General features: G+C 43.6%; 1 protein-coding gene and 8 non-coding genes across 14 annotated transcripts in view; all 9 read left to right on the forward strand.

Annotated features, from left to right (window-relative positions):
* Positions 1-25,548, forward strand: part of CLCN5 (chloride voltage-gated channel 5) — a 176,635-nt gene that overhangs the window by 69,014 nt on the left and 82,073 nt on the right. The gene's annotated exons all lie outside the window — the stretch shown is intronic.
* On the forward strand, positions 11,539-11,629 carry MIR532 (microRNA 532). The gene has a single exon (NR_030241.2). It is a non-coding gene; the product is annotated as a microRNA 532 (primary transcript).
* On the forward strand, positions 11,894-11,979 carry MIR188 (microRNA 188). Its single transcript, NR_029708.1, has one exon. It is a non-coding gene; the product is annotated as a microRNA 188 (primary transcript).
* MIR500A (microRNA 500a) lies at positions 16,822-16,905 on the forward strand. Its single transcript, NR_030224.1, has one exon. It is a non-coding gene; the product is annotated as a microRNA 500a (primary transcript).
* Positions 17,355-17,419, forward strand: MIR362 (microRNA 362). The gene has a single exon (NR_029850.1). It is a non-coding gene; the product is annotated as a microRNA 362 (primary transcript).
* MIR501 (microRNA 501) lies at positions 18,113-18,196 on the forward strand. Its single transcript, NR_030225.1, has one exon. It is a non-coding gene; the product is annotated as a microRNA 501 (primary transcript).
* Positions 19,063-19,141, forward strand: MIR500B (microRNA 500b). The gene has a single exon (NR_036257.1). It is a non-coding gene; the product is annotated as a microRNA 500b (primary transcript).
* MIR660 (microRNA 660) lies at positions 21,632-21,728 on the forward strand. The gene has a single exon (NR_030397.1). It is a non-coding gene; the product is annotated as a microRNA 660 (primary transcript).
* Positions 22,989-23,074, forward strand: MIR502 (microRNA 502). Its single transcript, NR_030226.1, has one exon. It is a non-coding gene; the product is annotated as a microRNA 502 (primary transcript).

Below are 25,548 nucleotides of genomic sequence, written 5' to 3' on the forward strand. Positions count from 1 at the left end.
ATGAACTCTTTGCCTAAGCCAATGTCTAGAAGAGTTTTTCTGGCAAGGTGTTTAATAATGCTACAAGTTTAGCCAAAGGATGTCAAGGGGTTTTAAAACTTTCCTGTTAACATATAACACACCTACAAAACAGTGTGCAAATCCAGTTACAGCTCCATGATTTACCAGAAAGTGAAGACACCCGTGTATCCAAGGGTGGTGAGAATTTCACTGGGAACTTTCTTTCCTTTCTTTCACAGCCCCAGCGATGTCTTCTTAAACATATGGCGTTAGTGGGTGTGTATGTTATGAAGTGTAAATAGTAATCCATGTGCAGAGGTGCTGCTCAGTTGAATGAATTAAGCCTTTGACTTGTCTCATTGTCCTGAGAGCATTGACGCCATCTGTCTGGCAGCACAAATTCTGACAACAGCCCAAATCTATAGGGTCTTTCAGTTCATTTATTTTTTTAAAAAGCTTTCCAGGTGTTTTGAATTATATTTAGTTGTGGTTAGTGGTAAATTTATGAGCTGGCTGGCTACATCTTCTTGAGTTGTGCCATAGAATCTGCAAAACGGTCCCGGGGTCTCTCTCTTGGGGTCTCTCCCTCTCTTTTTTTCTTTTTTTTTTTTTTTTGCCTTCCAAATTTCAGCTTGGAAAAATAACAAAAATGTTCTCAGCTCCCCATTTTCCCACCATTACTGCTTTCTTTCAGCTTTCAAGGGATGAATTCTGACATGCAGTTTCATGTCCTACCCTAGGATTATACACAACTCTCATAAAGTACCCATGGCTAGAAAATCTGCCTGTTTTCTCCTTAAAAGCCCTATGTGGTTTGTAGGGCTGACATTTTAATCATTACCCCTGTTAAAATTCCCAGTGACTGTCCAGGTGCATCACTGGCAGAATCTCCAAACCAAAGTTTAGGAATAAAAAGGAAGAAGAGAAGAAATACTTAAATATTGTACTTACAGTTTGTGTTGAGGAGAAAAATGCTTACACTGCTAAAGTCTATTGCAGCTTAACTAACACTTCGCTAGGACAATATGCTGAGTGTTCGGCATGTTGTTTTCTTTATTTTTTCCCCCTAGCAATAATTTCTTAACTCAGTGTTCCATTAACCTTGAGGCAAGCCAAGAACTTTTTTAGGATGCTTTTAATGCAAGTAATTTACTTACCCATATGATTAATTAAGGGATATACTGCCATTATAAAGGTTTGCATATATGTAGAGCTATAATTTTTCCTTGGTTTATAAAGTAGTTTATAAAGTTCTGCTGACCCATAAAAATCTAACTGTTGCAGTTACTGTTAGGCAGAGTACAGTAGGGTGTGTAACTGGTGTGCTGTCATTTCCTTGAGCTAACTAGGGAGAACTTGTTATTTGGTGGCTGGGTGATGGGTTAAGCAATACAATAGTTTAAGCAGATTTAAGAATCCAGCAGGACAAGTTAGGAAGTGAGACTCCTGTGAACTTCTGGCATTAGAGGGAGATGTGCTGGCCCCAGTGGATTTGGGTCTCTTCCTTCCTTGGCTTGAGCTGTGGATTCTAGGCATTTAAGGTTTCCTCCCCACACCCACCTTCTCCACCACCAAGGTCAACCTCAGAGCAGCATCTCCTAAGAGACCTGGAGAGGAAGGGTTTCCGGTTGTCCTTGCTTTTTAATTTAAGGGCTTTGTTTAAACCTGAATTCAAGGGGGAAAAAGCAGTTTTTCCACATATAAGGGAAGTATCTAGCTGGATTTTGTGCTCTTTTGTTACTAAAGTTCTAAAATTGTGGACTTTTAGTATCCTGTGATATGTGTTTTTCATGTGCTAAATTCCAAAGCCAGGACAGGAGTAGGGAGGGGGTCCAGAGTGTCCTTTCGTTGGCTCTTCCAGATTCAATGTGTAATCACTAGGGAGAGAAATAAGAGCAGAGGTTTTACAGTAAATAATATAGTTTGAATGGTAATCATCATATAATCCAAAAGCATTTCTTGAGCAACTATTGTGTATCTAGCATTGTGAAGGAGGGTCTGAGTAAATTTGCCTGAATCCTGGTTCTGTTGTGCTTATTATTCAATGAGAACACAATAAAGTAGTGAGTGGCATTGTCCTAAGGGAGTTTAGGAAAGGGAAAATATCATGAAAGAAGTGAGACTTGAGCTAGCCTTTAAAGACAGTTAATATTTGGGCCAGTCTGGCCCAGTAACACAAGTCTGGTTAGAGGTGGGTGTGGGGGCTGACCATGAGGAAATTGGCTTGACTTGAGAAGAGATCTGTGGGGCAGCTGGGAAGCAGGGCAGGGGAGTTAGAGATGGAATGTGGCCAACCACAGGGAATGGCCTTGGAGAGTAATAACCTAAGGAAAAGGCCAGGACATCAGTGAGAAAAATAGGGATAGAAAGTAAAGGAATAAATACAAAATACTGCAAACAAGAAAGTTTGGACTTGGTACCAAATTAAATACCGGGGTTAAAAGAGGAGGGAGCAAAAGAGAATCGACATTCTAAGTAGGTGACATCAAAATAGCAATTGTGATAGCAGAGAATTTGGGGAGAAAGAAATCTGCTTTGGGGAGCAGTAATGTGTTTAGGTATGTTTTTCAAGTGTCAAACTTTTTATTTGGTGGTAATTTAAAATATGCTGTGGCTTGAATGGGAGAGCAGGAATAGATTTTTAGAATTTGGAAGTTATTTGAGAATAATGATGTCTGTAACCCATAATAGAATTCAGAGAAAGGTGATTAGACAGATGTATGGTGGGGCAAGGTGGAGTGGTGGTGGGGGGCTAGCCACAATAGGAACCTTGAGGAAGGAAGAAGTGGCAACAAATATTGAAGGAAGGATCAGAGAGGTAGTAGGAGAACCAGAATACTGTACCATATAATATAAGCTAAAAAGGGCATTTCAGGAATTAGGGAGTCATCTTATGTCAGATGCCAAAAGAAGAAATTGAGGAGAGTAGGAAGTTAAAAATCCTTTTAGCTGTATTAAAGTCTAGTATATATTAAGCCCATTTGCCATGCAAAGTTAGAATCTCATTATAACACAACCTGCAATAGTACAGAATTTGATACACTCCTATTCAGTTTTGTGCTCTATTCCAAGAGGATAGATATTCCTGGAAGCATCTTATCCATGACTCTTCTGCTGCATAAACCCTAGGGACAGCATAAGATAGAAGTTTATGCATATTCTCTTAACAGATATACAGCAGGTCACAGCAGTTAAACACGATTGGGTGAATTCTTCCACCAAGTTTCAGCAGGCTTTTTACCCCTCCAAACAAATATTCATATCAACTTTGGTATGATGCAACTAAGATGCAGAAACATTAGCCTCTCGCTCTTGAGGCTCAACTCAAGTCAGTGAAATGGGGTTGGAACTATAATCCGGTTCCCCAGATTGTCTAATTTGTTTTTTTCTTCTCTAACCCATTGAGAAAATAAAGATTAACCTTCAACTCAATATATCTTGCCTCCTGGACCTAAATTCAGATCAAGACGTATTCCTAAGCTTACATTTTAGAATTACAGAGTAAGGTGTAGGCGGCATTTGTCATTCTAGTAGTCACCACACCTTAGGTGGGTGGTTGGGCAGAACAGTGACTGAAGGATGGAGTGTGTGTCCCTAAACCCGACACGCCCTGAAATCTTCCTGAATTAGTAAGTCACTTTATCCATATATTCTTGCACAATAATGGCGAAGGGGAAGTAATTTGGATAGCTGCTGATAAGACATTTTTGGGCCCGTGAAATGGCAATACTTCAAACAGAATGGGAGTAGCTGTACTAAACCAAGCAAACAGAATTCTTTCGAAAATAGTTACGGAGTTTCTACCTTGTAGCTGAGGCTTCCGAGCAAGGGTAAAGTCAGTCCCTTCCCTCTGGGAGAGATAAAGCACAGTGCAAGTAACTGGAATGCAAGGCAGGATGTGTCTAAGTGCTATGTGAGCGAGTCATAGCAGAGACATTCTTAGAGTGGGTTCTTGGAGGAAATGTAGAGTGTAAAGGCTTGACAGCTCCTAAGAAAAGCATCAATGAAGAGATAATGAACCTATTCATTCTGCCAATCTACCAAATGGTAAGACGTAATAAGTTTATGTAGCAAATGAATAGTGTAACTGTGTCTATTTTTACAGGGGACTTGAGCTCATGAGTAAAGTCCTTCCAAGTTGTCATTTTTGTTTAAATTTCCCTTGAGCAATAAAGTAAAATTCATTCAGCTGCCAGTTTTATCATGTGTTATGTACTGGCTTTAGAGCTGGAGGGGTTGGGAAATATGAGAGTTTCATATTAGGAGCACCAGCACAGGATAGGTAGCTTGCCCAGGATGAAGAGTAGCAAAATAAATGCCTTGTTATCCACGTGGCATATGGCATTCTGTTGTTTAGTGCTTTGCAATACAGTGTGGCCATTTCAGTGAAGGGTGCTAAGACTCCAGATACCTAAGTCTTGGCCTAAGCCATTATCTATCTCTGTGTTAGTGCTGGAATCCTTGGCATTTTCTGACATAATCATGCCCAAGCTTGATTACCCAAGTTCTGTAGATTGTTCAAAGTGTCCCTTGTGCTTATCTCATCTATCAGCTCAGCTGTCATACTCATTCAACCCTTGTGCCGAAGACTGTGTAAGATTCATCTTCATAAAACACCACATAGGATGAATTACCAGTTTCTGCTCTTGAAATCTATTGAATCACTCCTCACTCCACACCCCATTACTTCCTTTCTGTTCTCACCTCTACTCAGCCTAGTTCAGGCCCTCCTGAACTCTCTCATCTGTCAGTTGTGAGAGCTGAGCTTTTAAATTGATTTCCCTGGTGCAAATCCATATTTCCACTTGCTGCTAGACTAAACTTCCTGAAGAAGCATTTTACTCTCCAACTTATAAAACTTTGGTAACTGCCCATTGCCTGTAGCTCTGTTTTGCAGCATCGAACCCCATGATATGCGTTACTGTCTTCACAGTCTTCATGTCCATCTGGACTTGTTATCTTCTTTTAAATCAGCTCATTTTAAATATTAAAACATGTATTTTAAAACATGTAGCCTCACTGCAAGCAATAAACTCCATGCAAACATGAGTCAGGGTTAGTTTTAATGTATTCCTCTTTACAGTCAAATGGACACATTAAGTAAGAGGAACAACATTGGTGGGCCACCTAAAATTCCCTCTCCTAAGAGGTTGCTCACCACACTGATAGTCCACCTCATTATTATTATTGCAGCATTTAAGGACCACAGCATGGCCTTGACCTTATTCACCCTCTTCTCTCTGTCAGAACTCTCCACTCCAGCCAAACTGGTTTCTTTGTGGCCTCCTTAGGTAGTAACTTTATATATTCTCCTTAGCTTCTGAAATACCTTTCTCTACCTCCTCCTCCTCCTGATCTGTGTTTGTCTTTTCCATCCCCTTTGGTCACTCTTCACTCCAACTCATCTTATCTATAGCAGTGCCTCCCCCTCTCTAAATTCTTGCATTTTGCATCACTGCCTTGTATCAGTAGTTCAGCATTTTCATTTTATCTGGCTTAATTCTGTCCTCATTGTATCATACAGTGTCAGAGTTAAGATGTATCTCAGAGAACTTTTCATAGGACTCTTACTTGATGTAGACCCTTGAAGCTCCTTGAGGACAGCAATCACATTATTCCTATCAAGCCCCAAATGTGTGTCTCTCTTTTAGGGTTTTTCTTACTCCAGAAGTCATTGAATACACCATTATTTCAGGATTTTTCAGGAGTTATTTATCTAGCTCATTCTGCTGATCAGCAGTGTTTCCACCAGAGATGTCAAAGTCATACCTTTATTATCTTGCCCCCCACTTGTCCCTGTTGTAAGTTCCCACCCTTCACACCTTACCTCAATACCTCCTCACCTCCTGACCTCATACATTCAGTCTTCCTAGTTTTCAATCCATTTTGTTACCTTCTTCTTTACTTCCAAATAATAATAAACTCTTGTTTTTTGAGACAGGGTCTCACTCCATTGCCCAGGCTGGAGTGCAGTGGTGCAGTCATAGCTCACTGCAGTCTTGATCTCCTGGGCCCAGGCAATCCTCCTACCTCAGCCTCCTGAGTAGCTGACACTACAGATGTGTGCTACTATGCCCGGCCTTTTTTTTTTTTGTAGAGATGGGGTCTCACTATGTTACCCAGACTGGGCTCAAACTCCTGGCTCAAGTGATCATCTTGCCTCAGCCTCCCAAAGTGCTGGGATTACAGGCATGAGCCACCATGCCTGGCCAATAATAAACATTTTTTTGTTGAAGATCCCATCTGTGTCTATCTCCCTAGTTCTCTCTTTCTTTTACCCTTAGCCCCAAGTTGTTGAACATAAAGTCTGGAACTCACTACTCTTTAGCAGTTCCTTTCTGGCCTCAGACAAGGGAGAAGCTAAACAGTTGGGGTCAGGGGCATTCATGAGGATCTTTGAGTGATATTTCCCTAGAGAGGCCCATTTTCCTGTTGCTGATGCTAACAAAGATAGTTAACATTTGGCACTGGCAGTGTCCAGACACTGAGCTCAGCACTGGTCATAGTGTCCTGGTTAATCCTTGCAACAACCCTAAGAATCAGGGACTCCCGCCCTCCCCATTTTACAGATGATGAAATGCAGGCATAGGGAGATTAGGCACAGCTGTTAATGGCAGAACCAGGCATTCCAAAGCTGAGACTATACTGTACTGCTCAAACGACACAGGTGTAGAAGGTGTATGGCAGCCTGAGCCCCATTTCCTGTTTGCATATTCCTGCTCATACATGCACAGGAATATATACTTAATGGGGTACGGTCACTGGACCCTTCTCACTTACTCTCTCACCACCCCCTCTGCTCCTGCCATTTTGTGGGCACCCACATAGACGTAGTGCTGCAAAGTGAGCCTCCTTTTGAGCAGATCCACACAAAATGTGCAGATAAACAAGCCTTCTACCTCAGGCCTGCAGCACGCCTGCTTTCTGACCTGCTTGGTACGTTTCGGGCCCAAAGTGTCAGAGTGTGGATTTTCACAATCCCCCTCCCACATTTTAAGTTTGCAGGCAAATGAACCTTAATGTGCCTTCTCTACTTCCCTCCCTCCCTCCTTCCCTCTCACACTCAGAGTGCCAGAAAGAAGAACCTGCTGACTCCACCACTCGTCTATATGTCTTGACTGTAGGAGAGAGAGCTTTCCTGATCCCATTCCTATTTGTGGAGTCTGTGGGAGAGCAAGCCATCTTGCCTTCTTGTTATTTCTCTCCTTCACCCATGCATGACACTGCAAAGGGTTTGCTGGCTTGAGTCTTCTACACACACACACACAGTCTGAGACATCTGATGTGTTCACCCTCCCATTTGCCTTGAATGGTAGTGTGTGTGTTTTTTAATTCCACTCTTATATACACAACTTACAGGAGAGTGAATTTTCTAGTGCCACCCCCCCGCCATAGGCTATGTGCCCCCTTGCTTTTTTTCACCCAGCATCCAGAGTCGAGATTGTTTAGTGCCCTTCTTACAGGCCTTGTTGGCAAGAGTGAGCATTATTATGGGACACCCTCCCCACCCCCGACACAGATGATGCACACAGGAGTACAAGATGATGAGGCTCCTGATCACCCCACGCCTCCTTAGACCTACGTCTGTGTACATCCTCTGTCTGTGAGGGAGAGAGGAGGTGACTCCTTACCTGTTTGTCTCACATGCCTCACACATTGGGGTGTGAGCTGTCTCAGTTCCCTCCCACACATGAGGTTTACAGATGTGCAAGCTTTCTGAGCTGTGCCCTGCCTCTTAAACCCAGCATGCCTTCTTAGTGCTCTTCCCACAAGCATGCATTATTGGAGAGTGGACTTTGCTTTTTTTTTTTTTTTTTAACTTGCTGAGTTGAAGTATTTGAAGGATAGTGGGCCTAAAAAAACTGGCTCTGGCACAGGCACATGTGCCTTCACATGTGTACACACATGTACACCACGAGGGAGATGAATCCTTCGGCCTGTTAGTGTTTGCTTTGTATGGTAGATGTGTTGAGGAATAAAAAAAATAATCTGCCCCTTTTAGCTGAGGGGAAAAATAAGTTCAGAAATGGCAGTTGATCCATTAAGGATGGTGGGCAGTTTCTAAGCTATACTCTGTTGGCCAGCAAGTTTAAAGACTAAAGAAAAAGTGTCAGTGTGAACACATATTTGGCTCTTTTCACTATAGTTGGTGTTGTCAAGCAGCTGATACCTGCGGAATAGAATATGAGAATTGTGCTACAACGAATACATTTGCTTTCTTAGTCTGTACATTAAAAGCCCCTTTTTTTACTTGTTTTAAAGGTTGTGGAGCATTGTTTGAATGACAGTTATTTACATTGTAAAAATAGTATGAAATTTATGATATTTTAAAAATTTGCTAGGATTCATCAGTGAGCATTCTTCCTATATCTGCCCTGTCTCTGCTCTCCACTCCCCCAGCTCTCCTGCCCCATGCAGGGGTGCAAGCCTCTCAAGCTATCCCATCCCACCTTGACCACACAGAACTACAGTGAGCTTTTTATTTTAAATATGCTTCCCCAAACCTGTTGGACTGTGGGTTTCCCCATCCGCCTCCTGCTTGCAGCCTCTCTCTCTAATCCTGCTTTTCTCTTTCTTTCTCTCATGTGCATACACTCATGATATGCATGTAAGGGAGACACCTGAGTTGCCCCATTGCATCCAGCATCGCAGGACTGTGAGCCTTCTATTGCTGCCACTCTCCTACCCCACGCATGGCTTAACCTAAAATAAAACTGACCTCCCAATTGGGAGGTTATTACAACCTCCCAATGCACACACTGGCTGGGCCACAGTGGCGTGTGAACCACTGTGTCAGCCACCTTATTACCCCTTTTCTGTGCATGCCCCCACACACATTTATGATAGGAGCTTGAGCCTCCTTATTCTCCATCCTTGCTCTTTCTCTCTTCCTTTTCCTCCCTCATCTCACATGTGTGTGCCAAGGATGTGCCAGAAAGTGGGTCCTTATCATTTTCAGTTCTCATACACATGTGGGTACACACAGCTTTAGGGTTCAGTGGTTAGGCCCACTGTCTTGGTAGTCAGATTACCTGTGGTAGAATCCTGGCGTGATCTGTAATGAGCTTTGTGATCCTAGACAAGTGACTTATCTTGTGTCTCAATTTCCACAACATGAAAATGAGATAACTAATTGTGCCAACCATATAGGTTTGTAATAAGCACTGAAGGAGGCGACGCATGTATTGGGATTAACATGTAATAAACTTCCTTAATCCATATGCTTTGCCTGGAGCAACTGATTCTCCATAGAAGAAAACTCACACCTAAGCTGCTTGGTCCCATTATTTGAAAATGTTTGGGAAGTACTGCCTTGGATGACTGTTTCATAATTCTTTCCTTTCCTCAAATCTGCAGTGTCACCTCCCTTCCTTCCTCCTCACTCTCAGCTGCTGACTTTGCTTTCTTCTTCCTTGAGAAAATGGAAGCCATCAGAAGGGACCCTCTGAAGTTCCTCTGACCTCTCCTCCATTACCTGCACATGTCCCTAAGTGTCAGCTCCTCCCCATTATGGTAGATGAATTACTGGCACATGTAGCCAGGACCAGTTCCTCCACTTGTATACTAGATTTCAACCCCTGTCACCTATTCAGTGACAGTGCTCCTGCAATTGATCCCCCTCTCCTTACTGCATCATCAACTGTTCTTTGTATACTGGAGTGTTTGTACCAATATCTAGATGTGCTGCCACATATCCTGTCTAAAAATAATTTTAAAAATTAAAAAGCACTACCTTCTCTACCCAAAAAGCTCCTCCAGTTTCTACTCATTTCTCTGTTCCTCTTTACAGAAAAAAAAAAAATTTTTTTGAAGGAGCTGATTGTACTCCATCTCTACTTCTATTTCTCCCATTTACTCTTTTTTTTAAATGTATACTTTAAGTTCTAGGGTACATGTGCACAACATGCAGGTTTGTTACATATGCATACATGTGCCATGTTGGTGTGCTGCACCCGTTAACTTGTCATTTACATTAGGTATATCTCCTAATGCTATCCCTCCCCCCTCCCCCCACCCCATGACAGGCCCCGATGTGTGATGTTCCCCTTCCTGTGTCCAAGTGTTCTCATTGTTCAATTCCCACCTATGAGTGAGAACATGTGGTGTTTGGTTTTCTGTCCTTGGATCCCTTCCTTACACCTTATACAAAAATTAATTCAAGATGGATTAAAGACTTAAATGTTAGTCCCATTTACTCTTGAAAACCCTCCATGTAAAACTGTAACCTGCAGCACTTAAATGACCCTGGTCAAGGTCCCCAGTGTCCTTCACATTTCCCAATTTACTGGGCAATGTTGTCATCTTACTTGACAGATCAACACACAGTTGATCACTCCCTCTGCCTTGAGACTCTACCTGCTTTCCAGGATTCCACACTCATGAGGTTGTCTTCTTACCTCACAAGCCTCTCTTTCTCAGTCTCTTGATGGTTTCTCCTCCTCTTCCTGAATTCTAAGTATTAAAGAGATATAGGGCTTAGTCTTCAGACTTCTTTTTTTTTTTTTAACTTCTCATTAGTCCTCAGCTGTTCTCATCTTGTCTTGCAACTCTAAGTACCATTTTATGTGGATGATTTCTGTGTTTGTATTTCCAGCCTGGACTTCTCTCCTGAATTCCAGATGCCTATGTCCAACTATGTACTGGACATCTGCCCCGAATGTCTAATAAGTATCTCAAAACTTTAACACATCCAAAGCTGAGGTCCTGGTTTTCCTCCCCCTCTCAAAAAGCCCTACTCCTCCCTCTGTGTTCTCCAACTCAGCAAACAGCATTTCCCAATTGCATATGCCAAGGATATGGAGAATTTTAATAAGCTAAAGGTTTTGGATTCATCTTTGACACTTTTTCCCCTCCATTCTCCAAATACAAACTGCTGTCAAATCTTGTTGGCTCTACTTTCAAAATACATGTCTAATCTGACCACACAGCCACTTCTCATACTTCTCACTTCCTCTATTATTTCCACACTAATCCAGCTTTTCCCTGGGCTGACAAGTGCAAGTTCTCTTGCGTCTGTCTGTCTGTCTGTCTCTCTGTCTCTGTCTCTGTCTCTGTCTCTCTCTCTCTCTCTCTGTGTGTGTGTGTGTGTGTGTGTGTGTGTGTGTGTGGTGTGTGTGTGGACACAAAGTGGTTGGTGGCTGAGAGCTTGAGCCTCCTTTTTTGAGTCCTCTTTCTAATGACCTGCATGCCAGATTCTAAGCTTTCTTACCATCTGTTCTCGTATGTGTGTTATTTCATCTGTAAAATAGGGATAATGATCACCTCATGGATATTTTATGAGAATAAATGAGCTATGTGTGAAAAGCACTTAAAACAGTGCTCTGCAAATGTAAATACTATACTGGTGTTAGGAATAAAAATAAAGGAAAAGAAAGAAGGAAGGAAAACAAATATGTTGTAGATAGTGAACATTTCTGAAGGTACATATGTGAATGTACACAAGCACACCTTCTCATTACAGCATGTCTGGGGCACAGTCATAGAAGTCCAAGGCATCTGGGATACGCATGCACACAGTATACAGGAGAGCAGACCTCCCGACTTGCTTTCTCTCCTCCATGCCTTGAGTGTAGGACCGTTGGCATCTTAATTACCCTCCCACACCCAAGGCTTGCAGAAGAGCGAGCCTTCTCTTCCCTCTCCAGTGCATAGGCATGAGCACATGGACAGGTACACCAAAGGGAGGTAGACCCTCTCTTACGTGCTCTGTATGTGGGGTACACTGTTAGCAGCCATCCCATCTGGATGACTGTCCTGCTTCCATGGCCACTGCTCCTAGTTTACCCATCAGCACTCCTGTGGCTATCTTGCTGCCCACTTGCACCCCCCAGGCCAGTGCCTCTTGCCTCCTAGAGCATACCCATATGTCGTGCCAAGAGAGCAAGCCCTTCCCTGCTCCCTCTCTCACATCCCTTGCATGGTGGAGGGTGAGCTTTCTGAAAACCCCTCCCACATGCAGGGTTTGCAGGATGGCGAGCCTCAGCTTTCCTTGCTCTCTTGTGCATGTGTATATACACATACGCACTCCTTCACCAAAAGAAAAACACACACCCATGTGGTGGGAAGGAGAATGACTCTCAGCCATGTCCTTTCTCCCATCTCAGTCTTACATGGATCCTGCAGGAGAGGGAGACTTCTCTTAGCTTTCTCTTGCACATGGTGCAGCCCCTCATACTCAGGGATAGGCACAGCCTAGAGAAGGAAGGGGGGTCTTTTGACCTGGTTCTGTCTTAGCGGCACCTAGAGGAGGAGAGAGAACCTTCTCAGGACTCCTGTACATGGGGCATGATGAAAAGGGAGTCTTCTAGCTAATTCTCACAAACCCAGTTTGTGAGGAAAATTGTGTCTATATCATAACCATATGCAAAGATGTAATATGCACACACATTTTGGGTTCAGAAAGTAGAATCCACTCACTGTGCCATGCCTTTCCATATGCACACTTGTTTGCTCAAGAGGGTGTGTGAAGATCTGTCTTCTTAGACACTCATGTAGATATGAGTCAGATTGTGAGTTTTCTCTGTTATCTCCCCAGACCCAGGATTTGCAGCCGATTCATTTGGTGAGCCACTCATTCATTCAGCAAATATTTATCGAGCAGCTACTGTGTGTTGGGTACTCCCCTATGCACCAGGGATACACCAGTGACCAAAAGACAAGAATCCCTGCCCTAGTGAGGGGAGGCAGGTAGTGAACAAAATAAGTAAGTAATAGATAGTGTGCCAATTGTTGATAAGTGCTCTGGAGAATAATAAGGCAGGAAAAGGGGACAAGGAGTGGGTGGGGGTAGTTACAGCATAGATGGTGGTGGAGAAGTTTCGATATCAAATAGGGTAGTCAGGAAAGGCCTACTGTGTTCTAGGAACAACAAAGAGCCATTGTGGCAGAAGCATAGGGCTGGGAAGTAGTAAGTTACAATGGAAAAAGGGAAAGCTGATAATTACTATGTATCTCTAAAATCTAAGGCCGCTTTTAAAAAAAAAATCATACCATTATCACACTTAAAAATAATTACCATCCAGGCACAGGGGCTCATGCCTGTAATCTCAGCACTTTGTGGGAGGCTAAGGTAGGCAGATCACCTGAGGTTAGGAATTCAAGACCAGCCTGGCCAACATGGTGAAACCCCGTCTCTACTAAAAATACAAAAATTAGTCAGGCCTGGTGGCAGGTGCCTGTAATCCCAGCTACTCGGGAGGCTGAGGCAGGAGAATCGCTTGAACCCGGGAGGCGGAGGTTGCAGTGAGCCAAGATCGTGCCACTGCGCTCCAGCCTGGGTGACAAGAGCGAGGCTTCATCTCAAAAAGAAAAAAAATTGCCAACAATTTTTTAATATCATCACATATCTGTTGTTCCCATTTCCACTTGTCTCAGAAATATCATAAATTAGGATCCAGATAAGGTCCATGCATTGCATTTGGTTGATATGTATCTTAAGTCCCTTTGAATTATATCTTTCCCTTCCATCTATATTTTTTCTTTCCTTATAATTTATTTGTTGGAAGAAAGTGGGCCATTCATCCTATACAGTTTTGCATAGTCTGGATTTTTGTGATCACATCCCTGTGATGTAGTTTACATGTTCCTTCTCCTTGTTTGTATTTCCTGTAAACTGATAGTTGCATCTGGAAGCCTGATCAAATTCAGGCTTAATTTTGAGGAAGGGGGAGCAGAACTACTTCCATTAAGAGGCACAAAATAACTGATGATCATCTTTCTGTGATGTTAGTTGCCACCGATGCTCAATTCTTAGAGCCGTTATTTCATTAGGGGTTGCAAAATGATGATATTCTAATCCCATTATTCTCTTGATTTATTAGCTGGAATACTTCTATAAAGAAAAACTTCCCTTCATCTGCTATTTGATCACCCAGTGTTGCCGTCTTTATAGGCAAGATAGGATAAATGTTTGGTTCTCTTTATTTATCAGTACTCAGAATAATGAGTTGGTTCACTAGCTTACTCTAAAGAGGATTTTTTAAAAAAACTATTATAATAAACTCATAGATTTAAATATATTTGGACTTTTAATCCATTGCAGTTCTTGCCTTCAGTGAAGCTCCAGTGCCCCATCTTTAGCCAGTAGGAGCTTCTTCAAATTGGTTCCTCAGTCCTTTTGACATGCCTCCGTAGTTATCTGATAGCTTCTCCGCTTTCAGAGATGAAAAAAATGTACAAAGCTCATCGCAGATACCTTCCCCAGGCCTGGAATCTGCCATGTCTTCAAGAAGCCCTGGTTTCTTTTAATCAGACATGATATTTAAAGACCATATTTGCCTCTGGATTGGTCATTGTATTTAGGCTTCTACAATGATCAGAACAGAAAAATGTTTTGTTTTTGTGTTTTCTTGTTTCTAGATAAATACATCATGATTCCATTATACTTCTGATTCAAAATCAGGATTACAGTTTTCTGTGTCTTTGCTTCACAAGTATGGTTCTGACTGTTGTATGGCAAATAGGAGGAGAAAGTGCAGAAACTGGGAGACCAGTTAGGAGGCCATTGAAATAATTCAGTTGAGAGATGGATGGAGGCCTACATCAGGGTGATCGTGGTGAAGGTAGTAAAAAGTGGTTATATTTTAAAGTTACAGCCAGTTGAGTTTACTGATACATTGCATGTGAAGTGTGAGAGAAAGAGGAGTAGGAGACTGAGCCCTCTCTTCCCTCTTTGTCACATATGAGTTGGGTACATATGCTGACACTGCCTCTTTAATCTGTAGCATCCGCATGCAAGTGCTGTCCCAGTGCAGTACACCTGGGCTAGGACTCACAGATGGTATGTTATGCACAGAGCAGAGAGTGCCTGTCACCTCTCCTAGTTCCTTTCAGAGAGCTTTTTGAATGCCTGTTGGATTTGGGGATCCAATAGTGGCAAGAGCATCAGGGACCCTGGTTTTACTGTGGGGTGAGCTTGTGCCAGAGAACACAGTTCATCATTCCCATTCAGCCTGCCTTCATGTGTTCAAGGGGCTGGAAAAGGGGAGCTTTTTCTTTCCTAACTCCCATGCTATCCTTGGGGTACAGGTGCCTGAGCCTTCTCATTTGCTCCTTCTCTTTAATCCTTGATACTGGTACTAGTGCTCTCCACATGCAATGCACCTTGGCAGGGATTCAGATGGGGTGAGCCTTAGCTGCAGATGGAAGGACAGAGCCCTTGTACATCGCCTACCTCTCCTGCTGCCTGCCAGTATTATTTACTCCTGTAGGGAGCCAGAAGAGAACAGTACAGCCACAGTCCCCTGAGTGTACTGCCTAGCTAGCACATATAGGAGGATAAAGCTCATTTGTACTCACTGTGCAGGTGTGCACACATGCTGGGGATACTGGAGAATGAATTTACTTTAGTTCCCACCCCCCAAGCACCCCACCTTGTCCCCCAGGATGGTCAGGCATCTAGGGATGTAGACCTGTATACACGGAGTCCCACTGATCAGGTAAGCAGTGGGTGGTTCCTTCCTGCCCTAACTCTACTCTCTTTGCCCTCCCAGAAAGGGCAGTGAGCTGTCTCGGCATTCTTCCCTTAGGTAGCTGTTGAATGAAGATGCACTTCCTTGTTAATGTTCTCTCTCACAATCACAGATACACAAATACTCGTATATGCACATGTGCACAAGCAAGGCATACAGGAGAATGAGCATGCAAGGGAGGCCCACATGTGGCTGGGTGCCCAGCATATGCAGACATGTGAGCATACAGGGACAGGAGAGACAGGAGCCTTTTTGATTATACTCACAGGGCCAGATGCCCCCATCTTTACTCATTTTCTGTCTCTCTCTCTCTCTCTTTCTCTCTCTCTCTCTCTCTCTCTCTCTCTCTCTCTCTCTCTGTCACACACACACACACACACACACACACACACACAGAGAGAGTGGAACTTCTGATGTTTTCCTTCATATCCCTTATGTGAAGGGGCGTGAACTTTGTTGACCTAGGGAGATTGAAGGAGAACCTCATCAACTCACACGTGAGGAATTTAAGAGGATGAATCTGTGTATCCCCTTGTGCAGGCACTCACACTCACAGATACTCGGACCTCTTCTCTCTCACCTGTCCCTTGCATGCAGGAGTTTCACCATCCCCCTTAAAAATGCACATTCATTCAAACACATATATACATAAAAATAGAGAGTAAGAGGTAAAAATATTGACGGCTGTGTGCCAGGTACTATACTTTATTTCATTTTCTTGACACCATTTAAGAGGTAGGCTTTAAATTGTCCTCATTCTTCAAAAGTGTTTAACTTGACCTTGGGAAAATCAGGTCGATTCTCTAGGCTAATATGTGGTAGAGCGTGCATTTGAACCAAGGTTCGTAGATACCAAAGTGCCTGGTTTTTCCACTACATTAGTGATTCTCCCAGTGTAGTCCCTGGACCAGTAGCATCAGTATCACCTGAGAACTTGTTAGAAATGCAAATTCTTGGGTCTCACCCCAGACTCACCAAGTCAGAAACCTCTGTAACCTGTATATTACCCAGGTCTTCAGATGATTCTGGTGCATGTTAGAGAACAACTGTGCTAAACTGTACTGCCTTCTTGTTGCATAGTCACACAAAGCATTTGCGGGATCATGAGCTTTGGCGTTATATTCATTCTCTCTTTCCTCCCTTTCACACTCCTCTCTCCTCCCAGTCTCTTTATAGGTTTATACTTTTTTGTTGTTACTATCTGAGAGAACAGACAAAATGTGTGTTTAACTAGACATCTTTAATGCAAAGCTCAAGAACTGTTCTCTTTACTTCTATATCATGACAAGTAAGTACCTTGTGTGAAGAAGAATGAGCCCTCTCACTGAACATTCACAGGGCTTTGTGTTCTGCTCCCCCTCTCTAATCCTTGCTACCTGGGTGAGAGTGCTGTCTGAATGCAATGCACCTGGGCAAGGATTCTGAGAGCGAGAGCTTCATCTTCGTGTAGGACAGAGCGTCTTTCTGTCCTCCTATCATCCATTCCACAAGTATTTATTGACCACCTTTTCTGTATATGATACTAAGTTGAGTAATGAGCATACAGTTGCTAACAAGACATGCTTGGTCCCTACCCTCATGGAGCTACAGTTGAGGAAGAAGAATGGAATTCCTCATCATCCATTACACCTACATGCCCTGAGAGTGGGTGGGCCACAGAGTGGACTTCTCATTACCACTGTCACCCACAAACATACACAAAAGCATGAATCTTCTCTGATCTCACATGGAACTCTGCAGGAGAAAAGATTCTCTGCCTTTCTGTAAAGTCCCTAGTAAATGACACTGTATATACATGAGAGTGAGACTTGGTTATAGCTACACATGCACACATACAAACACACAAAAAGGGCAGGTGTCAGAGCCTTCTTGTCTGCTCCCCCTCTTGAATCCTTGGAACCTAGGTGTGAGTGCTATTTCAGTGCAACACACCTATTCAAGGATTCAAAGAGGCTGAGCCTTGTCTACATGTAGAAGGACCAACAACCTGTCCCCTTCTTTCACATGTTTGTGTTTGCTATGCGGTGCCAGATCCTGCACTGGGTGGTGGAGATACAACGGTAAATAAGACAGCTAAGGTCCCTGGGCTCTGTAGAGGGCACCTGTGGGAGAATGAACTTCATCATTGCCCTGGACAAGCTTACACCTCTTTGAGAGCATGAGCTTTCTGTTTACTCCCAGCTTACTATGTGTCAGATACTGTAATGGGGAAACACACATTGGGTGATGAGACTTGCACAGCCAGTCTTTGCTCTCAGTGAGCTTATAGTTTACCAGAGAAACAGAAGAGAATGAAGTATCCCAATTTTCTGTACCATCTTCCAACATGTGCATGTACATGTGTGCCCACATACAGTTTGTCCCAACCTCCTTGCTAGGCCCCAAATACATCCAGCACCTGCAGACCCTCAAGTGTGATCTGAAAAAGATGCCACTCATATCTTTCATTCTAGTCTGAGGTTTTGTCTGAGAGGGCATGTCCATGTGGCCTTGTGCAGGGGGATGAATACATATGCTATCCCTGAGGAGAGGCATCTGTCTTAGCAAATGCACACAGAGATACTTTGCAGGAATGGGACCATGAAAGTCAAATATATATGGAGATATACATGCAGGGTGCAGGTGCCTGAGTCTTCTGCTCTGCTCTTCCTCTCTAATCCTTTGTCCCTGGGTGAGAGTGCTTTCTGAATGCAATGCACCCGGGCAAGGATTCTGAGAGGGTGAGCCCCCTCTGCGTGGAGAACAGAAGATCTGTATGTCACCTCTCAGCTGCTTGCTGCTTGCCTGCCTGCTCTCTGACCCTCATTCATTCTTTCCTTCCACAAATAATATGTATTGGGCACCATGATGGGCATTGGACACAGAGAAATGAACAAGGCAGACTTCGCCCCTGCCTTCCTGGATATTATAGCCTGAGAGGAGAATGGACTTTGTCACCACTCATTGCCCCTGCATATACTGAGGGTGAGTGGGCCACATAGGAACTTCTTATCTACCCTCTTCCCACCTTAACCCACCCATAAGTGTGAGTCTTCTCATTCCTGCTGTCACATTGATACTTGTTTCTTGTTTTTTCCTTCTTTCCTTCCTTCCTTCTTTTCTTTTTCTTTCTCTTTCTTTTCTTTCTTTCCTTCCTTTCCTTTCCTTTCTTTTCTTCTCTCTTTTCTTTTCTTTCTTTTTTGATGGAGTATTGCTCTGTTGCTCAGGCTGGAGTGCACTGGCACCATCACAGTTCACTGCAGCCTCAACCACCTGGGCTCAAGCGATCCTCCCACCTCAGCCTCTCAAATAGCTGGGACCACAGGCTTGTGCCACCATGCCTGGCTAATTTGTGTTTATTTTTTGTAGAGATGGGGTCTCACTATGTTGCCCAAGCTGGTCTCAAACTCCTAGGCTCAAGCAGTCCACCAGCCTTAGCCTCCCAAAGTGTTGGGATTATAGGTGTGAGCCACTGCACCCAGCCTGATACTTGTCGAAGCAACTTCTCTCTACTTTAGTTCAATGCAAGGTTAATGCACTAGGCAAGAACAGCAAGCCTTCTTGTTAGATGCACATGTGAGGTGTACAGGTACTGGAATCTCCTGTCCTGGTTCCCCCTCTCTAATCCTTGCTACCTGGGTGAGAGTGCTTTCTGAATGCAGTGCACCCAGGCAAGGATTCTGCAAGGGGGAGTGACATCTTCGCATAGGACAGAGCACTTCTACCTCCTCCTTCCATCCTTTCTATGACTATTTGTTGAGTACCTACCTACTCTATTGCAGGTGCTGTCCTGGGCAGTTGGCCCACAAGAGAATGAGCCATATCTGGTTCCCTACCTTCATGGAGTGTACAGTTCAGGGAGGAGAATGGACTCCTTCTCATTCATTATATCTGCATGTCCTGAGGGTGGGTGGGGTACAGGGTGGGTGGGGTACAGATACATGTTGGAGAATCTACTAAACCTCAGTACAATCACACATAAATACGCTGTGTGCAAGAGAAAGGGCCTGACTTGGTTACATCCACAGAGACATGTCCTCACAGAGTGGTCCCTCTGACCTGGTGCATCACTCACATTCTTTCAGCCTGTGTGCCAGTACTGCCTTGACTCACTGTCCCTTTTCAAGAATTCCAAGGGAAGAAGCCTTGTCTACACTTAAAAGGACAGAGCTTTTGCACATCAACTCTCCCTCCTCTTCCTTCCACAGATACTCAAGTGTCTATTAGACAGCAGGTATTATGTTCATCACCAAGGATATAGCAGGGATCAAAATGGACAGGTTGCTACCCTACATTCTGGTAGGGACTCATAAACACACTATACATAAATGTTGTGGATGAATAGGCCACTGTTCAAAAGAATGAAGTAGATCTATATGTTCCTTGTTACCCAGTCTGCATGCACAAGCATGTGCAGGTTCTGCTCAAGTGAAATTCTCAAATGTCCCCAATCCTTGTACACCAGACACACTCAGAGACATGGCCCTGCATGCAGAGAACCCCACCTACTGAAAGGGTAGGAGATGGAGCCTGTTGTGCTCTCCTCTCTCCCATTCTCAGCGTGCAAGCCAGTGAGCTTCCTTAACTCCCTTATAGATGGGGATTAAATGAGGGAAGTCTTCTTACTGCTACTTTCCTTCTTGCTGCTCTGTATAGGAGAGATCCTTTCATTACTTTTCTGTACAGTCACAGATGAACACACTATATGCGGTGAGCCTTCCCTGTAAACCCATGTGAGCACATGTGCACACACGCACACGTGCACACACACATACTCTGTATGGCTGCTTGGGCCTTCAGTCCTGTTCCCCCTCTTGAATCCTGGTACCTGGATGCAAGTGCTGTGTCAATGCGGTGCACCCAGGCAAGCATTCCACGGCTGAGCCTTTTCTGCATAGAGCGAAGAACACCTGTTTATAATCCCCATCCTTCATTCATTCCCACCTTTAACAAGCAGGGGTGGCGCTCCTGTCATGCACCAGACATGGAGAGACAGGGTGGTCAAGAAAGACACAGAACTCATACTCACATGCCTAGTGAGCATGTTTAAGAGAAGGAACTTCCGTTGCCCACATTGTTCATGCATACGTATGTAGCAGAGAGTGAGTCTTCCCATCATCCCCTCTCCAACCCCCCAACAGTGCTCAGCTAGAGAACTACAAAAGGTGTGTCTCCCCTTACACAGAGCTGCAGCCACAGTGTGCATAGGATAATGAGTGTCATTAGCAGCATCTTCTCACTCATGTCTGGTGTGCAAGGCAATAGGCTTTCTACTTGCTGCTTATGCCACCAGAGCTTGAAGGAAAGTGGCCCTACTTGTCAGTCATCTCACACATGCATATGAAGAAAAGACACTTCACCTTTGTATGGTCATAGGAAAATCACCTGTGAGCCAGAGAGTGCTGTTTCTTTTGTACATACACACAAACACAATGGATTTGAAGATGCTCGAGCCTTCTATTCAGGTTGTCCCTCTCTTTCATTCTTCGTAGTTGGGTACAAATGCTATTCCAGTCCATTGCCTTGTACAAAAATTCAGAGAGGGAATCTCATCCATGTTTAAAAGTGTAGAGTCTTTGCATCACCCCTCTATGTCCCATTATTTCATTTCTTTAAGTTATGTATAGAGCAGTGGTTCTCAGTGTGGTCCCTGGGCCAGCAGCATCTGTATCACCTAGGAGCTTGTTCAAAATGCCAATTCTTGGGCTCATCCCTGACCTACTACACCATAAACCATGGAAATCTGTACTTTACCAAGGCTCTCAACTGATTCTGATGCTCACTTAAGTTTGAGAATCACTGATTTAGTATAAGTGCTAGCTAGGGGCAGTGATAAGCTAGTCAGGTGAAGGGTGGAAGAGAATGAGCTCCTGCATTGCTCATGTACGTTCCCAATGCCGAGTCCATGCAGACTGTGGCAGGGAAGCCATCATTTCATTACTGTCTCCACCTCCTCCATAACCACACATTCAGTGAGCACATGAGGCTAAGTGAACACACAACAAGTACTTTATTAGGGAATAGACTTGGCACTGCTTCTCCAGGCGTGCACCTGACACTTTAATCTCAATCTGTCTCTCTCTCAATCAATCAATCAATCTCTCTCCTCTCTCTCTCTTTCTCTCTTTCTGTCTTTCTTTCTCTCTCCTCCCCCACCCCCCTCCCATGTGCAGAAGAATGAACTGCTCCTTCTCCCATACCCATTGCATATCGGAGTTGTGAATTCTCAAAACACCTCCTGTGTGCATGGATTACAGGAGGGTGAGCCTTGTCATCGTGAATCTTCTGCTGAACAATCCAAGTAGCCCGTGTTTATTGCGCACTTTTGATGTGCCATGAGCTGTGCTGGGAGTACCCTGCTAAATAATGGACAGTGTCTCTCTCCGGGACTTCCTATCTAGTGGAGGTATTAGGTGCCTAGACTTCCCCAGGCCTAGGCAACAGACACAGGTGTGTCAGGAATTGAGCCTTCTCATTCTCTTATGAATACACATGCTCACATTGTGCATGCATGTGCACACACACATGTGTAAGTGTAGAAACATTTCTGTACAAAGCTGAAAGGAAGGAGCCTTATTATCTAAACTTGCCTGCAAGTTTCCTTGCCACACACACTCAGATGCATGCCTGGTGTGCAGGTGCCTGGACTTTGATTTTTGCTTGCCCTCTCCTAGCCTTGCAGCCTAGGCACAAGTGCTGTCTTAGCAGTGCAATGGGCTTGTGCAAGGATACCAGCTTGTGAGCCTTGCCTATGTGTAGGACAGAGCCTGTCCATCCCTTCTCTTTCCTTTGTTCATTCTTTCAGTCAGTCATTTGTGTGTGCATGTTTTTGGTCCATTCATTTATTCATCCCTTTAACAAATTTACTGAATTCCTGCTGTTTGGGAATGCCACAGTAAACTAACCTGTCAGAGATGCCGACCTTACTGTCTAGCAGGCTCATGGAGAATAAGCATCCTCATGTCATCCAACTTCCTGTGAATACATGGGCTCAGGGTGCCAGAAATCAGGCTTTTCTTTATTCCCTCCCACAGACATGGGTACCTGTGCAAATATATGTGGTGTGCACATCCTGAGCCTGCTGCTCTGCTTCCCCTTGTATCCTTGCCACCTAAATGTGCATGCTGTCTCAGTGCAGCACCTATTCCAGGACTCTCAGAGGGGCCTTTTTCTGCCCATAGACAGACAAAGTGCCTGTGAGTCACACTTCCTCCTCCCTCTCCTTCCCCTCTACCTCCCTTTCACAAGTATTGAGCACTTAGTACATGCTAACGCTGTGCTGCCAGGGCAGTGGGCATATGGTATCACACAAGATGGACTTGGTTCTTGCCTCAAAGAATATGTGTAGGAGACTTGACTTTTTGTCACCTAATATTCCTGCACGTGCTGAGTTAGTGTGGGCCACAACATGGGACTTCTTATTGACACCCTCTCCCAACATATACACAATGCAAGACTCTCATTCCTGTTCTCACACAGAGCTGTGTAACAGAGAACCTTCTCTGCTTCGAGCACGGCAGGTGCCCAAGCCTTCTGCCCTGCTCCCCCTCTCTAATCCTTGCTATCTGGGTGCTAGTGCTGGCTCAATGCAATGCACCTGGGCAAGGATTCAGAGAGGGGGAGCTCAACTGTACCAAGAAGGACAGAGAGCCTAGACATCACCCCTCCCACCCTCCCCTGTCATAGTTTTTGAGTGATGGGTGTGTGTTGGGGAAGCACAGAACAGAATAGTTAGGGACTTCAGGTGCTCTGGTGGGCTTGTCTGTGTATTAGAATAAATGTCCTTATTAAATAATGTCCATGTATGCAGGTATCCAGAGTGAGACAGTGAGCTTTCTCTGTGTTCCCCACCTGCTGTCCACACACAGGGTGGTGGGCGGGAACCAGAGCCTTCTGATTTGCTCCCTCACTTCCTTCCAACCTAGATGTGAGTGCTGTCTCAAGTATTAAGCCAAGGATTCAATGAGATGGAGCCTTGCCTACCTATATGTATATATATGGACTGAGTGCATATATGTCTCTTTTCTTGCCTTCCTATATCTTGAGTTTCTAGAGTGTGACAGATACTCTTTTTAGTGTTAAGGATGCAGTGACAAACGAGAGTCAAAATCACTGGATGTGCTCTCTGATGGGCAGCTTTAGAAGAAAAATTCAGACGGGCACAAATGATGGGGGCCAAAGAGAGAGTCTTCCTATTCCCCCCACTCTGTCCCCTCTGAGGACAGGGAGATGCACACATTCATGAAGATTTACACTTACAGAATGTATAGGAGTTTGAGCTTATAAGCTGCCCTTTATCTTCCAGGACATCCTGAGTAGAACTGTGAGCTGCCTTTAGATGTCTATTACAGACTCTTCTTGAATTAGAGGGGGTGAAGAGCAAGGGACCCTTCTTATTGCTGATCTTGTATGCACCCCACACAATATGGAAATGAGAACAGCCTATATCTTTATATTACCTTACTTTAGTCAAATAGAGATGGACTATACATGTCTCTGTTTCAGTCTATCGCTCTCTCTGTCCGTCTCTCCATCTCTCTCTCTCTCTCACCTAGGGAGTACAGGTGCCCATGATCTGATTCACTCCCCTCCTCCCATCCTTAGCGCCTGAGCCTGAGTGCTTTCTACTGTGACCTCAGCAGTATTCTTCAGTTGTTACTCTCTTCTTAGCTAAGCTGATCTATTCATTCCTCCCCATCTTATCATTTTTGCTCATTGCCCATTGCAAATTTATAGTGTTCAGGTCAGCGTAGCAATACAGTATTATAAATAGTGGTGACAGAGACAGAAAGAGACACACACTCCATTTCAGTCCTCAAGTTCTTAAACATTTGGGACTTATAGATTCTGATCCTTGGTCCTTCTTCTCTCCCAGATTCTCCCAATCTAACCTGCAGTAAAGATTCAGGTTATTTAATATGTGCTCCTTATCTTTTGTATACTCTAAAATCTCATTTTGGTTACTGCTCAGCCTTAGTCTTATTTTATCAGACTTTATACCTCTCTTGATGCCCAAGACTAGCAGCATCAGCATCCTCCAGGAACTTGTTAGAAATAAACTCTCAGGCCTCACCTCAGACCTAGGTAATCAGAAAGTCAGGGGTGGGGCCCAGCAATCTGTGTTTTAACAGCCCTCCAGGTGATTCTGATGCACACTGAAGTTTGAGAACCATTGGTTTAAATGACTTAAAATTTCTATTCTGTCATTACTAGGGGGATTTCTGTGTTACACAGGATGATTTTTAGCATCAAAATTTCCTTATGTGTAAATGGCTCTTTTAGTTTCTTTTCATATTTTAAAAATTCATAGACTTTTTTGAGCAGTTTTAGGTTTACAAAAAGATTGAATGGAAAGTATAGAGTTGTTATATATTCTCGAGACACCCCAGTTTCCGCTATTAACATCTTGCATGAGTGTTGTACACTTGTTAAAATTGATGGGCTAATGTTGAGACATTATTATTAAATAATAGTATAATTATAATGTATTATAACTATTATTAAATAATAGTTTAAATATAATTATTAATGTAAACCATAGTTTACATTAGAGTTCCCTCTTTGTGTTATATACTCTATGGGTTTTGACAAGTGTATAATGACATGCATGACCATTATAGTATCATACAGAATAGTTTCACTGCCCTAAAATTCCTCTGAGTTCTGCCTATTTATCCCCCCTCCCCCACCCTAAACCCCTGGCAACCGCTGATCATTTTTCTGTCTCCATAGTTTAGCCTTTTCCAGAATGTCATATAGTTAGAATCATACATTATGCAGCCTTTTCAGAATGGCTTATTTTACTTAGCACTATGCATTTAAGGCTCCTCATATCTTTTCATGACTTGATAGCTCATTTCTTTTCTTTCATTTTTTTCCCCATTTATCCCATATAGTAACCAGCTTATTTCTTTTTATCACTGCATAGTATTCCATTGTCTGGAGGCACAAAGTTTATTTATCCTCACCCACTGAAGGGCAGCTTGGTTCCTTCTACATTTTGGCAATTATGAATAAAGCTGCTATAAACGTTTGTGTGCAGGATCTTGTATGGACATAAGTTCTCAACTCACTTAAGTAAAATACCAGGAAGTGTTGC

Source organism: Homo sapiens, chromosome X (genome assembly GCF_000001405.40).
Source record: "Homo sapiens chromosome X, GRCh38.p14 Primary Assembly".
Classification (NCBI taxonomy): domain Eukaryota; kingdom Metazoa; phylum Chordata; class Mammalia; order Primates; family Hominidae; genus Homo; species Homo sapiens.